At 38.4% G+C, this 20,538-nt stretch overlaps 1 protein-coding gene across 16 annotated transcripts in view; it reads left to right on the top strand.

The window, feature by feature from the left end:
- Window positions 1-19,849, top strand: part of RPGRIP1L (RPGRIP1 like) — a 105,707-nt gene extending 85,858 nt beyond the window's left edge. For 12 of the 16 annotated variants that reach the window (NM_001127897.4, NM_001330538.2, NM_001308334.3 and 9 more), the window contains 3 exons: window positions 6,951-7,035; window positions 12,388-12,521; window positions 15,814-19,849. In NM_001127897.4, the coding sequence (NP_001121369.1) occupies window positions 6,951-7,035; window positions 12,388-12,521; window positions 15,814-15,926 (332 nt within the window). In that variant the 3' untranslated portion in view covers window positions 15,927-19,849. Of the gene's footprint in view, window positions 1-6,950; window positions 7,036-10,007; window positions 10,082-10,752; window positions 12,605-15,813 lie in introns of those variants that run through there. The other 4 variants (XR_007064862.1, XR_007064860.1, XR_933260.4 and 1 more) reach the window with 4 other exon arrangements.

Here is a 20,538-nt window from a genome sequence, read left to right as displayed (position 1 = left end):
GCTTAGTATGTTCTCCTAGAGCTCTACATTAAAACAAACCATAAAAATGGAGTGTTGTGTTATTTTTAGCAAAATGGGCCATCTCATGCTAGTTCATCACTACTATTTTTTTCCTCACTAATCTTAGAAATTGCATTTTAATCAACATGTATAACCATGCTGTTGTATCAGCAGGATTACAAATGCTCACAGTTACCTTTTTTTTCCCCCATCTGGCATTTTTAGAAATACGTTCATTCCTCAAGACAGTAATCTTAAGTATCCAGAGATCTGGCCTAGTGGTCTAGTCCTCCCTTTATCCCCAATTTTTACTGTTATGTGAACTAAGGCAAGATGTTTAAATTTCATGATTCCTTGTTTTCTTATTTGAAAAGTAAGGTGCTTTCTAAGATCTACTTCAGCTTAAATTCTACAATAACAGGTGTGTTAAGAAATCACATGTGAAATAAGTAGTGTGGACAGGACAAGAATCTGATTCCTCCTTCATTTCATGCACTTGGTATAAAGAAAACATTTCCAAAAGTATTTTCTCAGGCTTCTTGGAAATCATCAGTTGCAGAGTACCAGAAAAGAAAACCATATCAAAATATTATTAATAGTTGCATTCAACTAATTTTAAGAAAGATACCCCAAGAAAAATGACAAACTCTTTGGCTTTTGTATTATTCTTTGTAAAGGTCAGGAGTAGAATATTTGGTTGGACTGGCAACAACATTGTTTTTTAGAGATTAATTGTCTATTGAGAAACTTGGCCATGTCAAGGAGTAGATGTTTCCATTTGCTTGAAGAGCAATACAAATCTTTCTTTAGCTCAAACTGTGATATATGCTCAAGTGGCCCAAATTTTGTGCATTCTCACATGGTTACCTCTAGGTCTGTTTGGGGTGTTTTGTTAGTTGTGCTTTTTTTTTTTTTTTTTTTTTTTTTTGTGATGCAAGGTCTGGTGCTATTGCCCAGGCTGGAGTGCAGTGGCACAATCTTGGCTTACTGCAACCTCCACTTCCTGGGTTTAAGCGATCCTTTCACCTCAGCCCCCCAAGTAGCTGGGATTACAGGGACACGCAGCCACACCCAGCTAATTTTTGTATTTTTGGTAGAGACGAGATTTCACCATGTTGCCGAGGCTGGTCTCAAACTCCTGACCTCAAGTGATCCACCTGCCTCAGCCTCCCAAAGTGCTGGTATTACAGGTGCGAGCCACCATGCCCAGCCTGGTTGTGCATTTTGGTTTGTTTTTTCCCTTTACTGCAGGGTATTTTATTGTCTAATTGGTATGTTAACAGTTATGTTTTTAATGAATCAATCATTTGATAGCAGCAAGAAAACCAGTAATCTATTAGAAATGAATTCAGTAAAACTGTTTACTATACTTTTTTTAGCTTCTCTTCCTATCTAATGAAATTTGACTGTGTAGAATTTTCAAGATTAATTGAAAATAATTTTAAGGATATTTTTCTGGGAGGAGGGGAAAGGAATGTACTCCGTGCTTAGAAGCAAACTAATGTTGTTTTATATCTGTTATATCTGAAAAAATGAGCTCCTAGGTCATCAGCAAATTTGAGAAATAATTAATATTAACCTGGTTGAATGCTTCATTTTTCATTTAAGTATGACATAATGAAAATGTTTATTTTAAAATTATTATATTTGCATCTCCATTGCAGGGGGATCTCCTTGAGTCTTTGGTTAATAAGTAACTATCTCTTGTATATTATTGTAATGATTTACCATTCACTCGTTACCTGATACAGAAGGTCAATATAATGTAGACTTACATCTTCCAAATCTCATTAAATATTAATGGAAGTAATTTTATTTCCAAACTGACTTTTTAATTCAAATGGATAATTTAGAGGACAATTAGTACATGCTGTCTCCTGTTTGAACAGCATGCAGTAGAGAGGTTAGCTGAACCTAGCAATGATTTTACCCTGCATTGTGACTTGAATCTGTACAAAAGAGACTTGTATGTTCAGGCCCAAATTAGGTACATAAAATGAGAGATGCAGACTAGTGATTCCCTAGATTATTCATAATTGAATTCAGTCTTTATTAAGAGGTGTTAAAACCAGTATAACCTACATACACAAAAATATATATCTCCTGGCTGGGCGTGGTGGCTCACACCTGTAATCCCAGCACTTTGGGAGGCTGAGGTGGACAGATCCTGAGGTTGGGAGTTTGAGACCAGCCTGGCCAACATGGTGAAACCCCACCTCTACTAAAAATACAAAAGTCGTCCTGGCATAGTGGCTCACACCTGAAATCCCAGCACTTTGGGAGGCGGAGGTGGGCAGATCATGAGTTTGAGACCAGCCTGACCAACATGGTGAAACCCCATCTCTACTAAAAATACAAAAATTAGATGGGCATGGTGGCAGGCGCCTGTAATCCCAGCTACTCAGGAGGCTGAGGCAGGAGAATCGCTTGAACCCAGGAGGCGGAGGTTGCAGCGAGCCAAGATCGCGCCACTGCACTCCAGACTGGGTGACAGAGCGAGACTCCATCTCAAAAAAAAAAAAAAAAAAATATATATATATATATATATATTCTTAGAAATACCAACACTGAAAAACTAAAATTGAATTTACTTGCCAGACAGTGGTAGCAGGAACAAAACATTTGTATTTTATTGGGCCTGAAAATTTTGCTCAGAGAATGCTGAGAAAGCAAGAAAATAGTTTGGGAAAAAATAAGATTAATGGTAGGTCTGAAGAATGTTGTCTGGGCTGAATAAAGCCTACAGTGGAATTGACAGTGGAAGGAAAAAGATTAATGAAATCATCCAAAGTTTTTATGAGACTTATACATGTCTGGACCCTTAGCCTCTAGGGATGGAACAGTCTGTCTTTTGGAACAATTGAAGTTTAATTCAAAAGATGAAGATGATGTGAAACATCAGATTTTGTGACTAATAGGAGGAGAAATTTGGCAAAGATAAGGATGATACAGATGATTACTCTTTAATACAAACATTATCTGAGATTCAGGGTTATCGACTCCTTATAATTAAGCCATCTGCATTTCTTCTGCCATATGACATTGATAACAGAATATAAGGATTTATCCAGCTTGCAGAAGTAAAGGATATGTTTTTAATGGTAGATGACTGAAGATCAACTAAAGTATTTGGACTACCAGTTTGTATCCTTTTTGAGACATATGCTTTCAGTAAGTTTATGTCAAAATCATACAAGTCCTAAACAAATGTGATTTCTGAGGAGAATGAAAGGTAAATACCTTAACTTTTGGAGAGTTCTGATACTTTTAATAATCACTAGAGTCACTTTTTATAGGATGTATTTCAAGTTTTGAAATTGTGAGTTTTTTTAACCATCTAGGGTTTTAGAATACTAAATGAACCATGGTTAGTCATAGGATATCATGACATAATCAGAGGCAGCCAAAGTGTTCCTGTTTCCCACGGTATTCAACCCAAAAGTGTTCACTAGCTCCTGATCCCATTTAAAAATTTGGCAAATGAATGTTGGGCCAAACAATGTTTCTCAATGTGTAGAACCCCCACCACCAGCAGCAATATCAACTGGAAACATGTTAGAATTACAAATTCTCAGGCCCTAACCCAGAGCTACTGAACCAGAAACTCTGGGAATACAACTCAATAATCTGCATTTTAACAAGCCTTTTAAGGGGTTGTGATACACAATAAAGACTGAGAACCACTGGGCTAGATAAAGATGCCCAATCTAGGCCTTGTTTGTGGAAGCAGGAGAGCCATAGTTCCAACTTGGTACACTTTTGGAGAACTAAGCTTATTGGTAAGTAGCTGGAGTATTTTCAAAAAGAGTATTTTGAAAGTTTTCTGCCAAGAAATATGATTTGACACACCTAGACTAGGTATATCTAAGCAATTATTCCTTTATGAAACAAAAGAAAATGAGGTGACTTCCCTTGATATTGTTATGGAACATTCTCTTACCTTCTGGTCTTGTGTTAACAAAATAACTACAGCTTAAACAGGAAAACTTTGGCTTCATATGGAAGGAGGAGAGGTTATGTAACATGGAGGTTAAGAGAGCAGACTCTTGAGGCTAACATTGCTGGATTCAAATTCTGGCTCTGCCACATTCTAAGTAGGTGGTCTTGGGCAAACTCCTAACCTTCTCTGGATCTATTTAATCATCTGTAAAATGTGGGTCAGGTACTTAACCTGCATGATGACAGTAAAAGTATTTAGTGTAGTACCTAGCACATAAATAGTACCCAGTAAATAGTGGCAATCATTTTTGTCTTTATTAAGAGAATAGGAAATATAGCATGTTGGCCAACTCGATAAAGCAGAAGCACAGGGAATCCCCAACGACACCACTTTTTAAAACCAATTTCAATGGTAAGGATGTTTAAAAAAGAAAAAGAAAAGATTGGGCCAGTCATGGTGGCTTACTCCTGTAATTCCAGCACTTTGGGAAGCCAAGACAGTAGGATCACTTGAGGCCAGGAGTTCAAGATCAGCCTGGGCAACATAGTGAGACTCCATCTCTACAAAAACTAAAAATTAGGTGGACATAGTGGTGCTCACCTGTAGTCCCAGCTACCAGGGGGAGGCTAAGGGCTAAGGTGGGAGGATCAGTTGAGCCCAGGAGTTCGAGGCTGCAGTGAGCTATGATCACACCACTGCACTCCAGCCTGGGTAACAGAGCAAGGCCCCCCATCTCTAAGAAAAAAAAAAAAGGTAAATTTAGAATGACCCGTATGGTCTAGCAATTTCACTTCTGGGTATATACCAAAAAGAATTGAAATCAAGAACTCAGATATTTGTATGCCCATGTTTAGAGCAGCATTATCCATAATAGTCAAAGGTGGAAACAATCCAAATGTCTATCACAGGATAAGTGGATAAACAAAATGTGGTATATACATATGATGAAATATTATACAGCCTTAAGAAGGAATGAAATTTGACATATGCTACAAGATGTATGAATCTTGAGAACACCAATGCTAAATGAAATAAACTGGACACAAAAGGACAAATACTGTATGATTCCACTTATATGACATACTTCGGGGAGTCAGATTCATACAGACAAAAAATGGAATGGTGGTTACCAGGGGCTGAGAAGAGGGAAGAATGGAAAGTTATTGATTAATGAGTATGGAGTTTCAGTTTGGGAAGATGAAGAAGTTCTGGAAATGGATAGTGGTGATCATTGTACCACAATATGTAGATATTTAATGCCACTAAACTGAATACTTAAATATTAATTGTTAATTTAGGATGGTAAATTTTATGTTATGTGTATTTTACCACAATAAAAAAATGATTTAAGCTATTGAAATTTATCAAATCTGGTCTAGGTTTAATTGGAAGACCCTTTATTTGGATGCTGGCATTTGAAATTCAGTCTTTTTTTTTTAACCACTGAGATTACCCTTGTCTTCAAACTATGGAAGCCAGTACGACATAAAAGCTTTACAACTCTGAAGTCAAAAACAATATGGTGTGCCACATCTTGAATTGGTAATTAACAGCAAAAAAAAAAAAAAAAAATCCCATTTGGAAAAAAAGTTCCCCTTTAGCGTTGTGTACTGGCAGCCTCTAAAAAACGAAGTCTATCTTCCAGTGATCTGTTAGCATGACTTTTTGGCATTGATAAATTAAAAAAAATACTCTGAACCTTTGAATCTGTATTGATTTCTATAAACTTCAGTAACCTATATAACTAGCCACATTTACTAATATGGTTTCATGCAAAGAGCAGTAAGCTAGGAGCTGGTGTTTGACTTTGGCTATCCAGAGTTGATTATTAACTTGGTTATTATGTCTTGGATGATTCTTCTCTGAAACCACTAACCCACCCCTATACCGGTACCTTTATGTCTCTCCCGCCACCTTTATGTCTCTCCCGCCTTGTGCCTACTCAGTGCCTTTGGCCCTCAGTTAATATTTGCTCAACTGAGCCAAACAAATGAGTTGATAGCATCATAATTTGGAATTGAACTAAAATTGTTCAGGGAAACATTTTCAACATAAAAGATGTTTGTTCCTGGCAGAGCCTAAGGAGAACTGGCTTTAGAACTATCGTGATATCTTTCACCCATTGCATGCTTTTGGCCAGGAATAATCTCTAAGTTGAGATCTGGTCACAGGGGAGCCTTTACATCCAAAATGGCCTATGAAAAAGAAATGTCTTCAGAAGCTGATGCATGGCTGAAAGTCTGCCGAACTGAGAACAAATAATCAGGATGAAAATTGTACTGTTCGCACATTGAAATGCCATTTTCCCAAAGTGCAGATGCTTACTTACAATGTCAAGTGTTCACCGTCTTCTTTCTGTTGAGACTTGAGGTCAGTTATCTAATCTCATGCTTCAGCCCAGTGAAGTCTGGCCACATTCCTCGATGCCAGCATGTGCCTTTAAAACCAAAAACCTCACACCCTAAAAAGCCTTTCTCTCCCTGCACGTTTCTCTCCCATACCCCTCCCCAGCAGGCGTCAGCCTGCGGATTTCCTCAACCCAATACACTAGATGCCTCTTTTATTGCATGTTGTGGCAGAAGAGAAGGATTAAATTACTGAGGCTGTCAGGAAGGACAAGCAGTCTGCCATACATTATCATTATCACTTGCTTCTTGGGTGAAAGAAAATGCAGTAAATCCCTCAAATACAAAGCAATAAAGACCGTTGACTTTTACTGTCATGACTGCCAGTGCCATTAACAGGCAGTGACGGTGATGTGGCACTCTTAGATGTTGCTTGTATCTTTTCTGACAGTGTGCACATAAACCTGCCAGTGACATGACATTAGATCACATGACTACTCAGATTTGATTCTGGTTTCTGGAGCTGTTTTCTTTTCCCAGGCATGCAAGTGAGGTGGCATGACTTGTGTCTTTAAAAACAGGTATTTTTAAAAATACAGAATGGTACTAATGTAGCCTATTCCTGAGTGACTTCCTTTTTGGCATTTTTTTTTCTTTTGGTATAGTGATCTACGTGGATAAAGAAAACAACAAAGCAAAGAGAGACATCTTAAAAGCTATACTACAAAAACAAGAGATGCCTAATAGAAGGTATGTTTTGGCAGTCCAAATAATCTAATGGTTTACATAAAGTAGATCTCTGTAGCAGGACATGGTTAAAATAAAAGGCACAAGATGAGGAAGCCGAACATCGGGGTTCTCTGACTCACTCTGTACCCTCGAATGAGTACGGGATCTCTGTAGATCGCCTTCCTCCTAGAAATTTAATGGTCCTTCCTACTATACAAAGTAATTGTAATGATCCTATAGGACTTGGAACACCAAAGACTGGACAACATGTATAAAGTATCCTATTGCCACTCCTGTAGTTGTAAAGACTGTAACAGGTTGAAAGGTGGGTACACTCTGGAGTCACATGCCTTGGGTATAAATTCTTGTCTTATTGCTTACTAGCTGACTGACCTCAGACAAGTTACCTAACCTTCTTGCACCTCTCTTCCTTCAACTTTAAAATGGAGATGATAACACCATAGAGGGTTGGTGTGAGGATTAAATGAGATAATATATGTAACACAGATAGTATAGTACCTGACACATAGCACACAGTGAGTGTTAATTGCAATCATTGTAAGTAGTGACATTAATATTATTGTTTGTAATGGCTCATCAGCCTTTCAGACTAATTTGTATCTTACTATCACTGTTTAATAAGCCATCATTTCATTATTATTTTTTGAAGGCATTTTTTTTCTAATTTAAATAGGATACCTTGCAATTCTGGTTCAGTAGAGAAAATACATGTATATAATTTTCAGAAGAAAGAAAAAAAAACTGATCTTAAAAAGTTAGTGCTTCTGTGTGAGCTTCTGCCGCAGAGTTTGAGGAGTTACCTCTGTGCTGCTTATTAACCGCAAACTGGTTTCTCCAGTGCCCCTTGCTGGCCGTCCTCCCTCGGCTTGAGTACCCCTTTTCTGTCTCCATTGCCCACTTCTCCTTGCCTTATGACCTACTGATGACACAGCCTCTCACTGCCTCAAAAACAGTGCTGACTCTGCCGCCTTAGGAGACTCAAGTTCTTTCCTTTCCAGAGGGCCATAAAGTGAATGTTAAAGACATATTTTTCAAAAGAGCTTCCAAACTAGCATTTTATCTTCTGTTTGAAGAAGAGAGACTGGAATGCTTAGCTCTCAGGATCTGATAATATAGCTTTATCACTATTCTTTCACTAGCTTTCTGAGGCTCTACTTTTCCCAGGATGGTAATCACTCAGGTTTGACTTGCTTCAGCTTCTTTCAGGGCCCCCTTCAAAGCCACCAGTCCCCCAGGGTTATCCCAGGTCATGAGTGACGAGGGAATAAACAGCACTGGCCATGGCATCTGCTTCCCTCCAGTCAGCAAGCTGCGCCATGGCTGTCTAGGATGGAGCTCAGTTCCCATGGACAAGTCCTGGGCTGCGATTCAGTAGCCTATTCAGTCTTATTTGTCTGCCTCTGTGTTCGCTTTGTTTCTGAAATGTGAGATCATATTGGGAGACAACATTTTTTTACCCCAAAAGTGTTTATTTAAAAAATTTAAAATCAAGTTCTGCTTTTGTGTTAGACCTGCCTTTCCTCAGAGGACCCACTTATTTGTACCAGAATAGATTAAGAAATTTAAAAAGGCCAGGTGTGGTGGCTCATACCTGTAATCCCAGCACTTTGGGAGGCCAAGGCAAAAGGATCCCTGGTGCCCAGAAGTTAGAGACTGGCCTGAGCAACATAGTGAGACTCCCCATCTCTACTAAAAATTAAAAAAGAAAAAATTAGCCAGGCATGGTGGCATGCACCAGTAGTCCCAGCTACTATGAAGGTTGAGGAGGAAGGACCGCTTGAGCCCAGGAGTTCGAGCTTGCAGTGAGCAATGGTTGTGCCACTGTACTCCAACCTGGGTGAGAGAGCAAGACCCTGTCTCAAAAAAAGAGAAAAGTCCACAGTAACTATAATGACTCCCACTCTCCCATGGTTGTTTCTGCAAACACCCCCCAAAGAAACAAATGTTCATGTCATTTTTGAGAAAGATAGAGAGGTATTGCAGGTGCCAAGTGACTGGCTCAGGGCTTCCAACCATGGATGAGTGTTTCAGTGCTGGCCATGCACTCCTCGAACAACCATGGGAGTGGATGGCCCCATTGACTGTTCTCCCTCAACAGTATCATTGTCCTAAGGGAAAGAGGCGTTTACATGTATGTTTTTCCACAGCCAAAAGCCAATTGTTATTCCAGCAAATGTTCTCACCTTTTTTAAATACTCAGAGGTCACATTATTTAAAGTAGCTCCTAGTTTATGAGAATCCATTTTCTCAGACAGCAACCCTGTTGAATATTGGTGATAACCTACAAAGCGACAGTTAGAGAAGTTTGATGTATCTTCCCCGACATGTCTAAAGTTATAGACATTGTATAATAAATTATATATAGTACCTTTGCATGCCACCCCATGCTATATTTGCAAATATACACGTGTCACTTTAAAAGGGAGGTAACATATTGAAATGTGCCTTCAAACAGTATTTATTTGAAGTCATAGTTTAACACTGACTTAAGGTCCTTTTTTGGATTCAGTTTTTTCTTGTTAACAGTGTTCTGTTGAACAGATCCACCCCTGAGGAAGACAGATGATGATAATAGACAGATAAATGAATTACATCTACAAAGACTAAGAGAAAATCAAAAAGTTAAATGCCAAAATAGAAAGTAACAGTGAAAGCTGAATCAAATTCAGTGAATCCTCAGTAGTGAATCTGAGGAGGTGACACGTAAGCTGGTTCATGAAGGATAAGAGGACTCAGTCAAGTCACAAAAAGCTCAGAGAAGATCATTTCGGGCAAAGGGAACTCCAGGCATGAAGGAGTATAGAGAGATGTGTTCCAGGACCAGGCAGAGGTGGTTAGCAAGGCTGGTCTCACTGAGAAGTAGAGAGTGGCAGGAGAAAGAGGTGGGAAGAGGAGGCAGGAGTAGCTCAGGTAGCACTTCCTGTTCTTCCTTCCACCTGAGTGCTTGACATCTGCCCCCTGTGTCCATCCAGGTCCTCAGACTAGACTGTAAGCGTTCTTCCAGACATGGGACAAAGTTGGCCTTTTTGTTTTGGCAGTGTTGAAAGTAAGATAAAAGATTTGTGTGTGTGTCTTTTCGTTATTTTTTAAAAATTACTTTTAATTCTTAAATGATTTTAGTGTACTTTTCCTCCCTTTTCAGCTTAACTTTCTGGTTTCTTAATTTTGTTTTTGACATCTCATTTTTCTCTATATAGAATTTAAAGCCAGAAATATTGCATTTTTAAATTTCGAGTTCTTTCTCTGGCATTTAGAAGGCTTTCTTTTGCCACAGAATTCTCATATATTCAGTGGAGGTAATTGTCTGCATTTGTAAAGTGATACAGACATGATCCTTAGATATGAGACACTGTATGAAGATAACACTTAACATTATTATTACAGTCTGCATAGCCTCAGTCTTTTCTGTAAGTCTTGTGTTATAATATGTGCATTATATGTTACTTTTAATTCCTCCTCTTCCAAGCAGTTTTAATTCTTCCTCTTTTCCTAATTCATTTTAGGAAAACTTCTTTCATAATCATTCCTCTTACTTAATTGAATGATATAGTCAATGTATAATTTGGGAATCTAACTAAATTTTCAATTGAAACAAGCTTTTCCGATGCCAAGTTTTTCTCTCCCCTTAGAAATGTAGAAGCATAAGCAACTCTATCTATATTAAAAATACTACTAAAAAGAAGAGCAAACATTTACTCAGTGCTTACTGTGTTCCAGGCAACTGTTCACTTGTATCATCTCATTTGATCTTCACAAGAGCCCTGTAAGATAAGTATAATTATCCCCATTCCACTGGTAAGGAAACTGAGATGAGAGAGGTTAAAGTAACTTGTCTAAGGTCACACAGCTAAGCAGTAGGAAAGCAGGAATTTGAGCCCAGAATGAATGCCCTTAACCACTCCATCTTAATCCCTCCATCTTATACATGTTATAAAAATTCCTTCGTACCACCTTGAAGGCCAAGATCTGTACTCTTTATAATTATTTTGTGAGTAGGCGTTAACTTTGATTTTGACCTAAAGGATTTCTATTTTCTAATAAAAATTTATTGCAGGCTGGGCGCAGTGACTCACGCCTGTAATCCCATTACTTTGGGAGGCCGAGGTGGGCAGATCACCTGAAATCAGGAGTTGGAGACCAGCCTGGCCAACGTAGTGAAACCTCATCTCTACTAAAAATACAAAAATTAGCCAGATGTGGTGGCGGGCACCTGTAATCCCAGCTACTCGGGAGGCTGAGGCAGGAGAATTGCTTGAACCCAGGAGGCAGAGGTTGCAGTGAGCCAAGATTGCGCCACTTCACTCCAGCCTGGGTGACAGAGCGAGACTCCATCTCAAAAAAAACACAACAAACAAAAAAATTCTTATTGCTAGCTAAAAACAGAGACTTAGTAAAGGAATTCAATATAGAATACTTACTTTCAGCAAGTTGGTTAAATGTATTGTCATGTTTACCTATAAGCATTTGGAAAGGATTTTATTTGTGTTTTTCAAGGCATGATTTCTCAGAGATGTAGATTTTTATGTTTCTTGTTTTGTTTCTGATTTGGGATGGATACATTTTGAAAAGTTTAAAATGGTAAAGTTTACAAGCATCTATGGTTTAAGCTATGCTGCCAAGACATATCAAAAGAGTACTTAACTGTAAATTCCTGTCATTTGGTCAATCCAAGTGCATTTGGCCTCCGCACAAGCCACTAATTCAAATCAGTTCCATCAGAACCCTACAATTATATGTCTTAAAGTAAAATAAAACTTGGATGCTATGATTGTAAGTTAAAGATTGCTCAAGTAATACAAACATTTGATATAGCTGTTGGGCAGAGTTACAACATTTATCTAACATGATTCAAAATGTTACCCTGGGAGCATGATCTCTGCATTTTGTAGAACACATACAGTTTTGTTAAATTCCTTAGTAGCAACTCCAGAGTTGTGTGTTTCTATAGGAAATGTTACGTTTCTATGGAAAATGCTGACCATTTAACCTCCATGGTCTTTATTCACTTCATCCTTTTAGCCTTAAAAGTAGAGGTGTCAAAATATAATCAGATAGTATGTAATTGAGTGAACATCTGGTCCTTCTCTTTGCCTAGTAATTTTCTCAGATTATAGAGATAAATGTTAATCAGTGCTTAGAAAGTGGATTAGTGTTCATTTGAAGGTTGGGTGTTTTATAACAATTCTAATAGTTCATATAATAACTTATCTAGCCTAGTGTACCTTTCTTTTTATTGGGATAATTGGAAACTTTAACATTTTATACCTAGTGATAACACCCCATTTGGGAGTTTTGTCTCGTGGTGATTTCTTCTCACTTGGTGGTGACTTTCTCTGATCTCTGCCTTACCAGCCTTCGCTTCACCGTGGTCAGTGACCCTCCAGAGGACGAGCAGGACCTGGAGTGTGAGGACATTGGCGTGGCTCACGTCGACCTTGCCGACATGTTTCAGGAAGGGAGGGACCTCATTGAGCAAAATATCGATGGTATGGGTGAAAGTGTTGCTCAGTTTGTGCAACCAACAATTGCTGAACTCCAAACTCTTTATTAAAACCTTCTTTTTGCTGGCTCCAAGGGTGCTGAGTCACACGTTACTTGAATCCTTTACAACTCAAGTTGACGCTTTGGTGAAGCTGAAGCGTCTTCCTATATCCTTTTCCTGTCCTCCCCCCTGCTTTCCTTTGAATCAACAGCAATTGTAAAATAATTAATTTAGCTTCACAAGGAATTATTCATTTGTTAGTATTGAGTGAAGGCGTGAAAAAAAGTTGGCCATTGGATTTTTTTTTTTTCTGAGACAGAGTTTTGCTCTGTCACCCAAGTTGGAGTGCAGTCTTGGCTCACTGCAGCCTCGACTTCCTAGGCTCAAGCAATTCTCCCACCTCAGCCTCCCAGGTATCTGGGACTACAGGCGTGCATCACCATGCCCGGCTAATTTTTTTGGTATTTTTTATAGAGACAGGGTTTCATCATGTTGCCCAGGCTGGTCTCGAACTCCTGGGCTCAAGTGATCTGCCCACCTAGGCCTCCCAAAATGCCCGGACTACAGGCGTGAGCCACCACGCCTGGCCACATGTTTTTCTAGGGTTGTTTATGGAAGCCACATTTCAGCTAAGACTTAACCTTCAGGATGTTATTCTGTTAATGTTTATGGAAGCCTTATTTCTGTTAAGGTACTTAACCTTAAGCATGTTATTCTGAGTGATCCTGATAATGTCTTTCTCAAGGCTTCTCTTTAATTCAGTGTTGCAATGTAGTGATACAGTCAAAGCAAGGAAGTAGCTTTGATCCTTTATTTCCCACCAGGATTTTGTGAGGAGTAATGACATTTGATCTGTTCCTGACAAATGTGCTGTCCTGGATTTTTAACTTACTAGTTGTGATTCCCAACAATGCTTAATTTCTACTCTCTATTCTTCTGTATTTAGAACGTGCTAAATTGTTTTATTAATCAGACTTTTAAAAATCATAATCAGGGATGGCCTAGGCTTTATGTAGTAAATAGAGAAATAAGGCTGATTCCTAGTCCCATTTGTTAAGTTAGCAGAGCCATCTTTGGAAAAATGTGCATGACTTGTTTACATATTCACTTGTGCATTCAACAAACACTGAAGGGAGCACCTCTTATGTGCCAGGCATTCTGCTTACGCTGTAGTTCAGCCCTGGTTCATTGTCAAGCTGCTTGTCCTAGGTATGTGTCAAGTGCTGAAAAGTCAGGCTCAAGCCAGATAATTAACCAAATTAGACCAAATAACCAAATTAAAAACTTCTTCTGGGAAATCTTTATAAACTATACATTTCTAACCACGTGGCAGTTGGTCACAACTTTGGCACAGAGAAAAAGATGAGAGGATTGAAATATTAACCTGAACCCTTTTAAAGACTACCAGGACCAAGAAAGTCTGACAAAAATACCAAAATTATCTTTGCTTTATATTCTTCGTATTTTTTCCAAATGGCTGTTTAGCAACCCATCTTCTTCTGAGAGACCGCATATGACCCACTGATCTGACATAATCAGCTATTGTGGCCATGTTTTGGGAAAGAGCCAAAAGATTAGGTATAAGTGAGGTTGGGATTTTAATGCTTTGTTCTGCAGCAACCATAGAAGTGAGAAGTCCCAAAGCAGAGATGACAGCTCCAGGGAATGAGCTGGGGACCACTCATGCCATTTTCACTTACCCAATGCTCAGTTTCTGCACCTAACTCTTTGTGTATCAAGTTTTAAGGCTTTCTAACAAATTTTCTTGGAATTAAACACACACACACACACACACACACACACACACACATTAAAGTTCAAGGAAAACCATAAGGAATTATAAATTGGAAACTAAGCCAGGTGTGGTGGCTTACACCTGTAATCCCAGCACTTTGGGAGACCAAGGCAGGTGGACTGCTTGAGCTCAGGAGTTTTAAGACCAACCTGGGCAACATGGTGAAACCCCATCTCTACAAGAAAATATATAAGTTAGCTGGGCATGATGGTGCCCAACTGTAGTCCCAGCTACTCAGGAGGCTAAGATGGGTGGTTGGCTTGACCCTTGGAGGCAGAGGTTTCAGCGAGCCCAGATTGCACCACTGCACTCCAGCCTGGGTGACAGAGCCAGATACTGTCTAAAAGAAAAAAACAGAAACTATATGAAGACTCATAAGTGATAAGTGCTATCAGACTTACAAAAATCCAGGTTTCTGGCCTTGAGTCACTAGCCATTATCATTGTCCACAGAGGGATGGAGTCTCAGGTATTGAATCGGCATCCCATTTGGCTTCCACCACTGAGCTCAGAGAATGCCCATGGCTCCAGCCAAATAGTCTACCTTCGGGGCTGGGTGCAGTGGCTCAGGCCTCTAATCCTAACACTTGGGGAGGCCACAGTGGGGGAATCACTTGAGCCCAAGATCTACCTTTGGGACACCACTGAAAGTAGTGGTCCCTCTTCCAAGAAAATCCTACATATACTCAAACCCACAGATCTTAAGATTCTTGGGTCTGCCATTTTAATCTTTTCTAATTTCACATAAAATCTATTTTAAATGAAATGTTTTCCTCAGAAAGTTAAATAACTAATTCAAGCTATGATCATGTAACATCTGTACAGTGGTTTGCCATTCTGAAACACTGTATAGATTATCATAAATTCCCTTTAGACTTACTCCTTACTAGCTTAAAAATTCTTTTTTTTTTTTTTCTTTGAGGAGTCTCGCTCTTGTCTCTCAGGCTGGCGTGCAGTGGCATGATCTCGGCTCACCGCAACCTCCACCTCCCGAGTTCAGGCGATTCTCCTGCCTCAGCCTCTGAGTAGCTGGGACTACAGGCATGCACCACCATGCTCGGCTAATTTTGTATTTTTAGTAGAGACAGGGTTTCTCCATGTTGGTCAGGCTAGTTTCAAACTCTCAACCTCAGGTGATCACCTCACCTCGGCCTCCCAAAGTGCTGAGATTACAGGCATGAGCCACCATGCCCGTCCAGTAGCTTAAAAATTCTGATTGTGTGTGAGGGTCATTATCCTAGACGCTTTCACTAGGTAAACTTCAGGATTAGCTTATTAGTTTTAGCTCCACAAACAATATGTACAGGTCCATGCGGTACGTCTCAAATGCACATCTCCATGCACACGTGACAAGGTTTATTCTTTAGATACCCAAGATGCCAGTGAACTTTGGACTTCTGTAGAACTATTTTCATCTTTTCAACTACTGTTTCTGTCTGCGAGCCTTTCCAAAGAAAAATCTGTTGAATGATATTAACACTTTCCTGCTCTTTTCTCCCTAGTTTTTGATGCACGAGCAGATGGTGAAGGTATTGGCAAGCTCAGGGTAACAGTCGAAGCTCTCCATGCCCTCCAGTCTGTCTACAAGCAATACAGAGATGACTTGGAGGCTTGAAAGCAAATGCTCCAGAGGCATCTCCTACTCCTCAGTAAATGCTCACATGAAAGTTCCTACATGAGATTTTTGTAATTACTCTGGTGTATATAATCTATAATTCATGGGAAGCTGGGAGCGGGGAGACCTGGGTTTGAAGTGTTGAAGTTTTGTATACTTTTTCATTTGTTTATTTCTCTATTCCCTCCTTCTCATAACTGCCACCCCTCAGGACTTAAGTTCTCCATAATGGGCAGTACCTTCTCAATAATTTATACCTACGTGATAGCGTGAGAAAGTCTATTTGCATTTTCAACATTTTCTTAGGAAGAACCGAAATGCAATTCCCATTTTTATTTTTAATAAGCAAAAGCATAAATCTTAGAAAACCTATGAAAAAGAAATACTTTTATGTTATCCCTAATCGTCCCACTAAATGGAATGCCTATGATTAGCTTCATTAAGAGTTTTATACTGTGAAGATTTTATTAGAAGCAATATATGAAAATTACTTGGATTAATGTGTTAATCTTCCTCTTTAAAATGCTAATATCCATTTTATGCACATTAAAGCTCAGTATGCATTTTCTTTGATGCATGCAGTTTCTATCAATTAAATATAAAGAATGAAACTTAGCACCAACTTATTCAATGACTGCAAGTTTTTTGTCTTTCTTTCTTAAAAGTTCATTCTATTTGTATTATTTTCATACATTTGTAATGGTGACCCAGGGATGTATATATAAAAAGGAGATAGTTATATAGATAGATGTGAAATTTACACGTTGAAAACTTAGTATATGACACAGAAAGAAATTATGAAAAGTATAACTCAAATTCTGATATGCTTAGTTAGACGTGAAAGGAGTATCTTTTTATCATTTTTTAAATTTACATCAAGCCAGTACAGTGCCAGGGTGTATCTGGGTAACCAGATCCTCGAAAAGCAGCTCTGAAAGTTAATTTTCTAGCTTTTACCCAATCTCACTGAAGGATTTAATTGATATTTTTAATGGAGCTGTGAATCAATGCTGCAAAGGAATTGTCTCTAGAGGTCTAGGATATAATGCATTTCATTTTTTAATTTACTTTTTTATTTGTCATTTTCTTCAAAGGATTTTTATAGGCTGTGGGTTTTCACTGTTTGCAAACAGGCTATGTTCCTTCTTAAGCATATGTAAAGTATTCAGGGAGATAAGTAATTTATTAAAATCTACCTAATTTGCCGTGATATATTAAATCTCTGCTTCAGTGATCACAGACCATTTCATTTAGAGAATTAGGCATTCCCTCTTTGTGTGATTAAAGCTCTGGAAAATGAGTTCTTTGCTCCTATTTGTGAACATTCAAAGCCTGCTAATGGCAAGAAGATGGAATAGATTATGAGACAATTCATTACAGTTCAATAGAAAAAAAAAGCAGCTATAATGCAAAAATGCAAGTATGAATATCTGCATATAGTTTGAACCATCTGTGCTCTAATGGCTTCAATAATGACTCTCGTCTTTAGAAGGCTTTGAAATGACATCCGTACAATATTAATTTGTTGATGTACATTGTGGGACCAGTAGAGTATGATCTGACCACAGAAATCTATAAATTCTGTCTATACCACTGGGCCTCCCTGTCCTGGGGCCTGCCATCTCCGAGAAGAATCTTGCTCTCATCCAACTCTGCAAATCTTCATAACAACTCGTTCCTCTGGAACCTTCTGGAGACCACAAACATCTGCAGACTAAACCTCTCCAGTCCTAGTAAACAACCACATGTTTGTTGTCACTTCGGCTGGCTCTGAGCTCATTTTTTTGGCCCCTTTTTCTAGCTTTCTTTGGCTTTATGCAGTTACAGTGTCATTAAGGCCCATAATATTCCCTGCAGTAATTTAAAACAGCCAGATTATACCCTGGGATTAACTGAGTGGTTTTTGAGACATTTATTGTGGTATTCTCCCAGGAGGTTTGTATTATTGTTGTAAAATGTTACATCCCAAACTAAATAACCCTTCTGCAGGGAGAAGAACCAGATTGCACTGACTTCTTAGGATCATTAAGTGGAAAGGAAAAGTTTTTCTTAGAAAACTTATGGGACCCAGTCACCTGTATGGAATGTATATCTCAGACAAGATGAGAGAAACAGCCATGTTTCTGTCACATTGTTTACTGTCATATTAAAGATATCTAGTTTTAAAATATTCAGTTTCAAACTATTGCGAATTTTCACAACACTCATTTTCATAGCTAATTGCTGCTGACACATTTTGAAGTGGCGAGGTAGTATTGAACGCTGTCATGTGGATACTTCAGTTGGGTTTCATAATCTGTTTGAGAATTTTGTTTGTTTTATCTTGTGGTAACTGGAGGCCATTGAAAAGCTTACCACCTTTTGGGTTAAAGAGCAGTGGATTTCTCTTGGTGAGCCAAACTGGATCCATTGAAGAGGGCTTGGCGTCAGGGGCCACCAGCAGTGGCCTTGCCACACAGATACCAGCTTAAGGTGTTGCTGGTGTGAACATACACTTCTTGGTGTAACTAGACCAGTGCACGCAGCACTTTTTTGGGCTGTAATGCTTTTAGTTTGGAAATACAAATAGAGATGTGATGTGGTATGTGGGAGAGTGTATTTTACATGTATTTTTGCCTACTGTAGTAGAAATGTCAAATTCCCAGCCACTGTCATGAAAAGCAGTTGACAAAAATAAGTTTTATGGTTTACAGTGTGGTTTACGTAAAGAACATTTCTCTTCACTCTCAGTTTCACCATGTTTTCTAAATTATCATGGTTTACTGCCATTTAACTTAAATTAGTTTTTTTAAAAATACATAAAGAATATGTTTAATCAAATAAAGAAAGGCCACACTGAAATTCTGCTGTTCCTGCCATTCATTCGTTACCACAAAACACAAATAATTTCTATGTGTTATGAAGACATGTGGGCTGAGAAGTGGTCATGTGATTGGAGAGGTTTTGCGTGCACTCATGTTCCCACAACAAAACATAAATTATTTTAGTAATCTGACATCAAGAGCTGTGAAAATGAAAACCAGTTCTTACACATGTTCTAACAAGAATCTGATTAACATTTTTGTGGATATGGAAAATTTTTTTTTTAGTCAAACTGGCACTATTGCTGAATGTAGAATGATTTCCTTATGCACTAGATAGAAAAATGTGAATCATGTCTGTGAACAAATATGAGAATAAAATGTCATCTTTGTGTAGGACAAAACAACCAGGAGAGAGATTTTGGGATAAAAATTATCAAGTGATTGACAATATCAGGATGATAATTCATCCCCAACTATCAGAGTACATTTTAATAAGTCACTCATGCCTGAAGGCCTCTGACTACCTTAACAAAGAAAAACTAAACCCGTGATTTATTAGAGATTGGGCAACATGCCTAATTAAATCCATGAATGGGAACAAACAGATTTACATCCCCTTTGTTCAGAACAAAAACAACCTCTAGGTCAACCAGAAAGCTAGAAAATATCAAAGCAAGAGAAACAAGTGTTTTTAAAACTAAAAATATAGAATTAGAAAACATCTCCTCATCCTAATCTCTTTTATCTTACAAGGTAGAATTTTCACTTCCATTTCAAAGTGCCACCAGTGGACTGCACCCTCCAGCCTGACCGCCTGGAAAATTGGACCCATATTACTGGTATTCTTATACCTTTTGTTCTTGCCCTTTCATTTTCCATATGACATTCACTAATATATCAAGCTATGTTTTTCCTTCAGGCTTTTGGAAGTGCAATCTGGTACTCTTAGACTTCGATCATGACCTGTTTTCTGAGGTAGATGCTGTTTGACTTTTCTGCTTTTTGCCTCTTCTCACTCTATTGAGAGTCACCTTTTTCATCCCTAGAACAGCATTACCTCTGTCTTCACTGTGCACCATTTGTTTTCTTTTTAAATAAAATTTAACATCTTGATTTTTATATTCCTACTATCTAATTTGTTCACATCTATATTCAACTGAACATCTCCTCCCATCTGTCTATTCTCCTGCTTATTTTTATCTAGTCAAAGCACATTTTTTTTCCTTCCTCTTTGCTGTTTTTTTCCTTTCTCTTTACTGTTTCTTTTCTTGGTGAGACAGCCACTTCTTGAGATACCGACATCTGTGACCAGTGGCCTTCCCAAAACGTTCCTTTGTGTTAAGATTTGTCTTAATTTAACATGACAGGGGCACTCTTAGCCATTATGAAACTGAGGAAACAGCAAGCTAATTTTTGTATCTTTGCTTCTTATACGTTTTTATAGTGAAGTAACAGAGGCTGGAACTCAGAAAGCTCTCAGGAATCACTGGTAAGGAACTGAAGCATAAGGAAGTTTTTTAAAAATTCAAGGATATATGTCATTAAAATCCAGCTAGATTTGATGCAAATGTTTTGTCATAGTTACACATATCATCATTAACGACAATGAAAATAAGAGAAATTTTTTACTTATTTTTTAATTTTGTTCATCAGGTTGGTGGAAAAAAAAGAGAAATTTTAGAAGAAAATGTAAGAGACTGTACATACAACCTAGAGGTTGGGAAGACTTTACTAACAGAGAGGAAAGACAGCTTTAAAGCAAAGGCATATTGACTATGTAAAGATTAAGACAGGGTAACCATTTTAAT

The sequence above is a fragment of the Homo sapiens genome, chromosome 16, assembly GCF_000001405.40.
Source record: "Homo sapiens chromosome 16, GRCh38.p14 Primary Assembly".
In the NCBI taxonomy this organism is placed as follows: domain Eukaryota; kingdom Metazoa; phylum Chordata; class Mammalia; order Primates; family Hominidae; genus Homo; species Homo sapiens.
The sequence above is the reverse complement of the archived record's forward strand: the minus strand, read 5'-3'. Positions and strand labels throughout refer to the sequence as shown.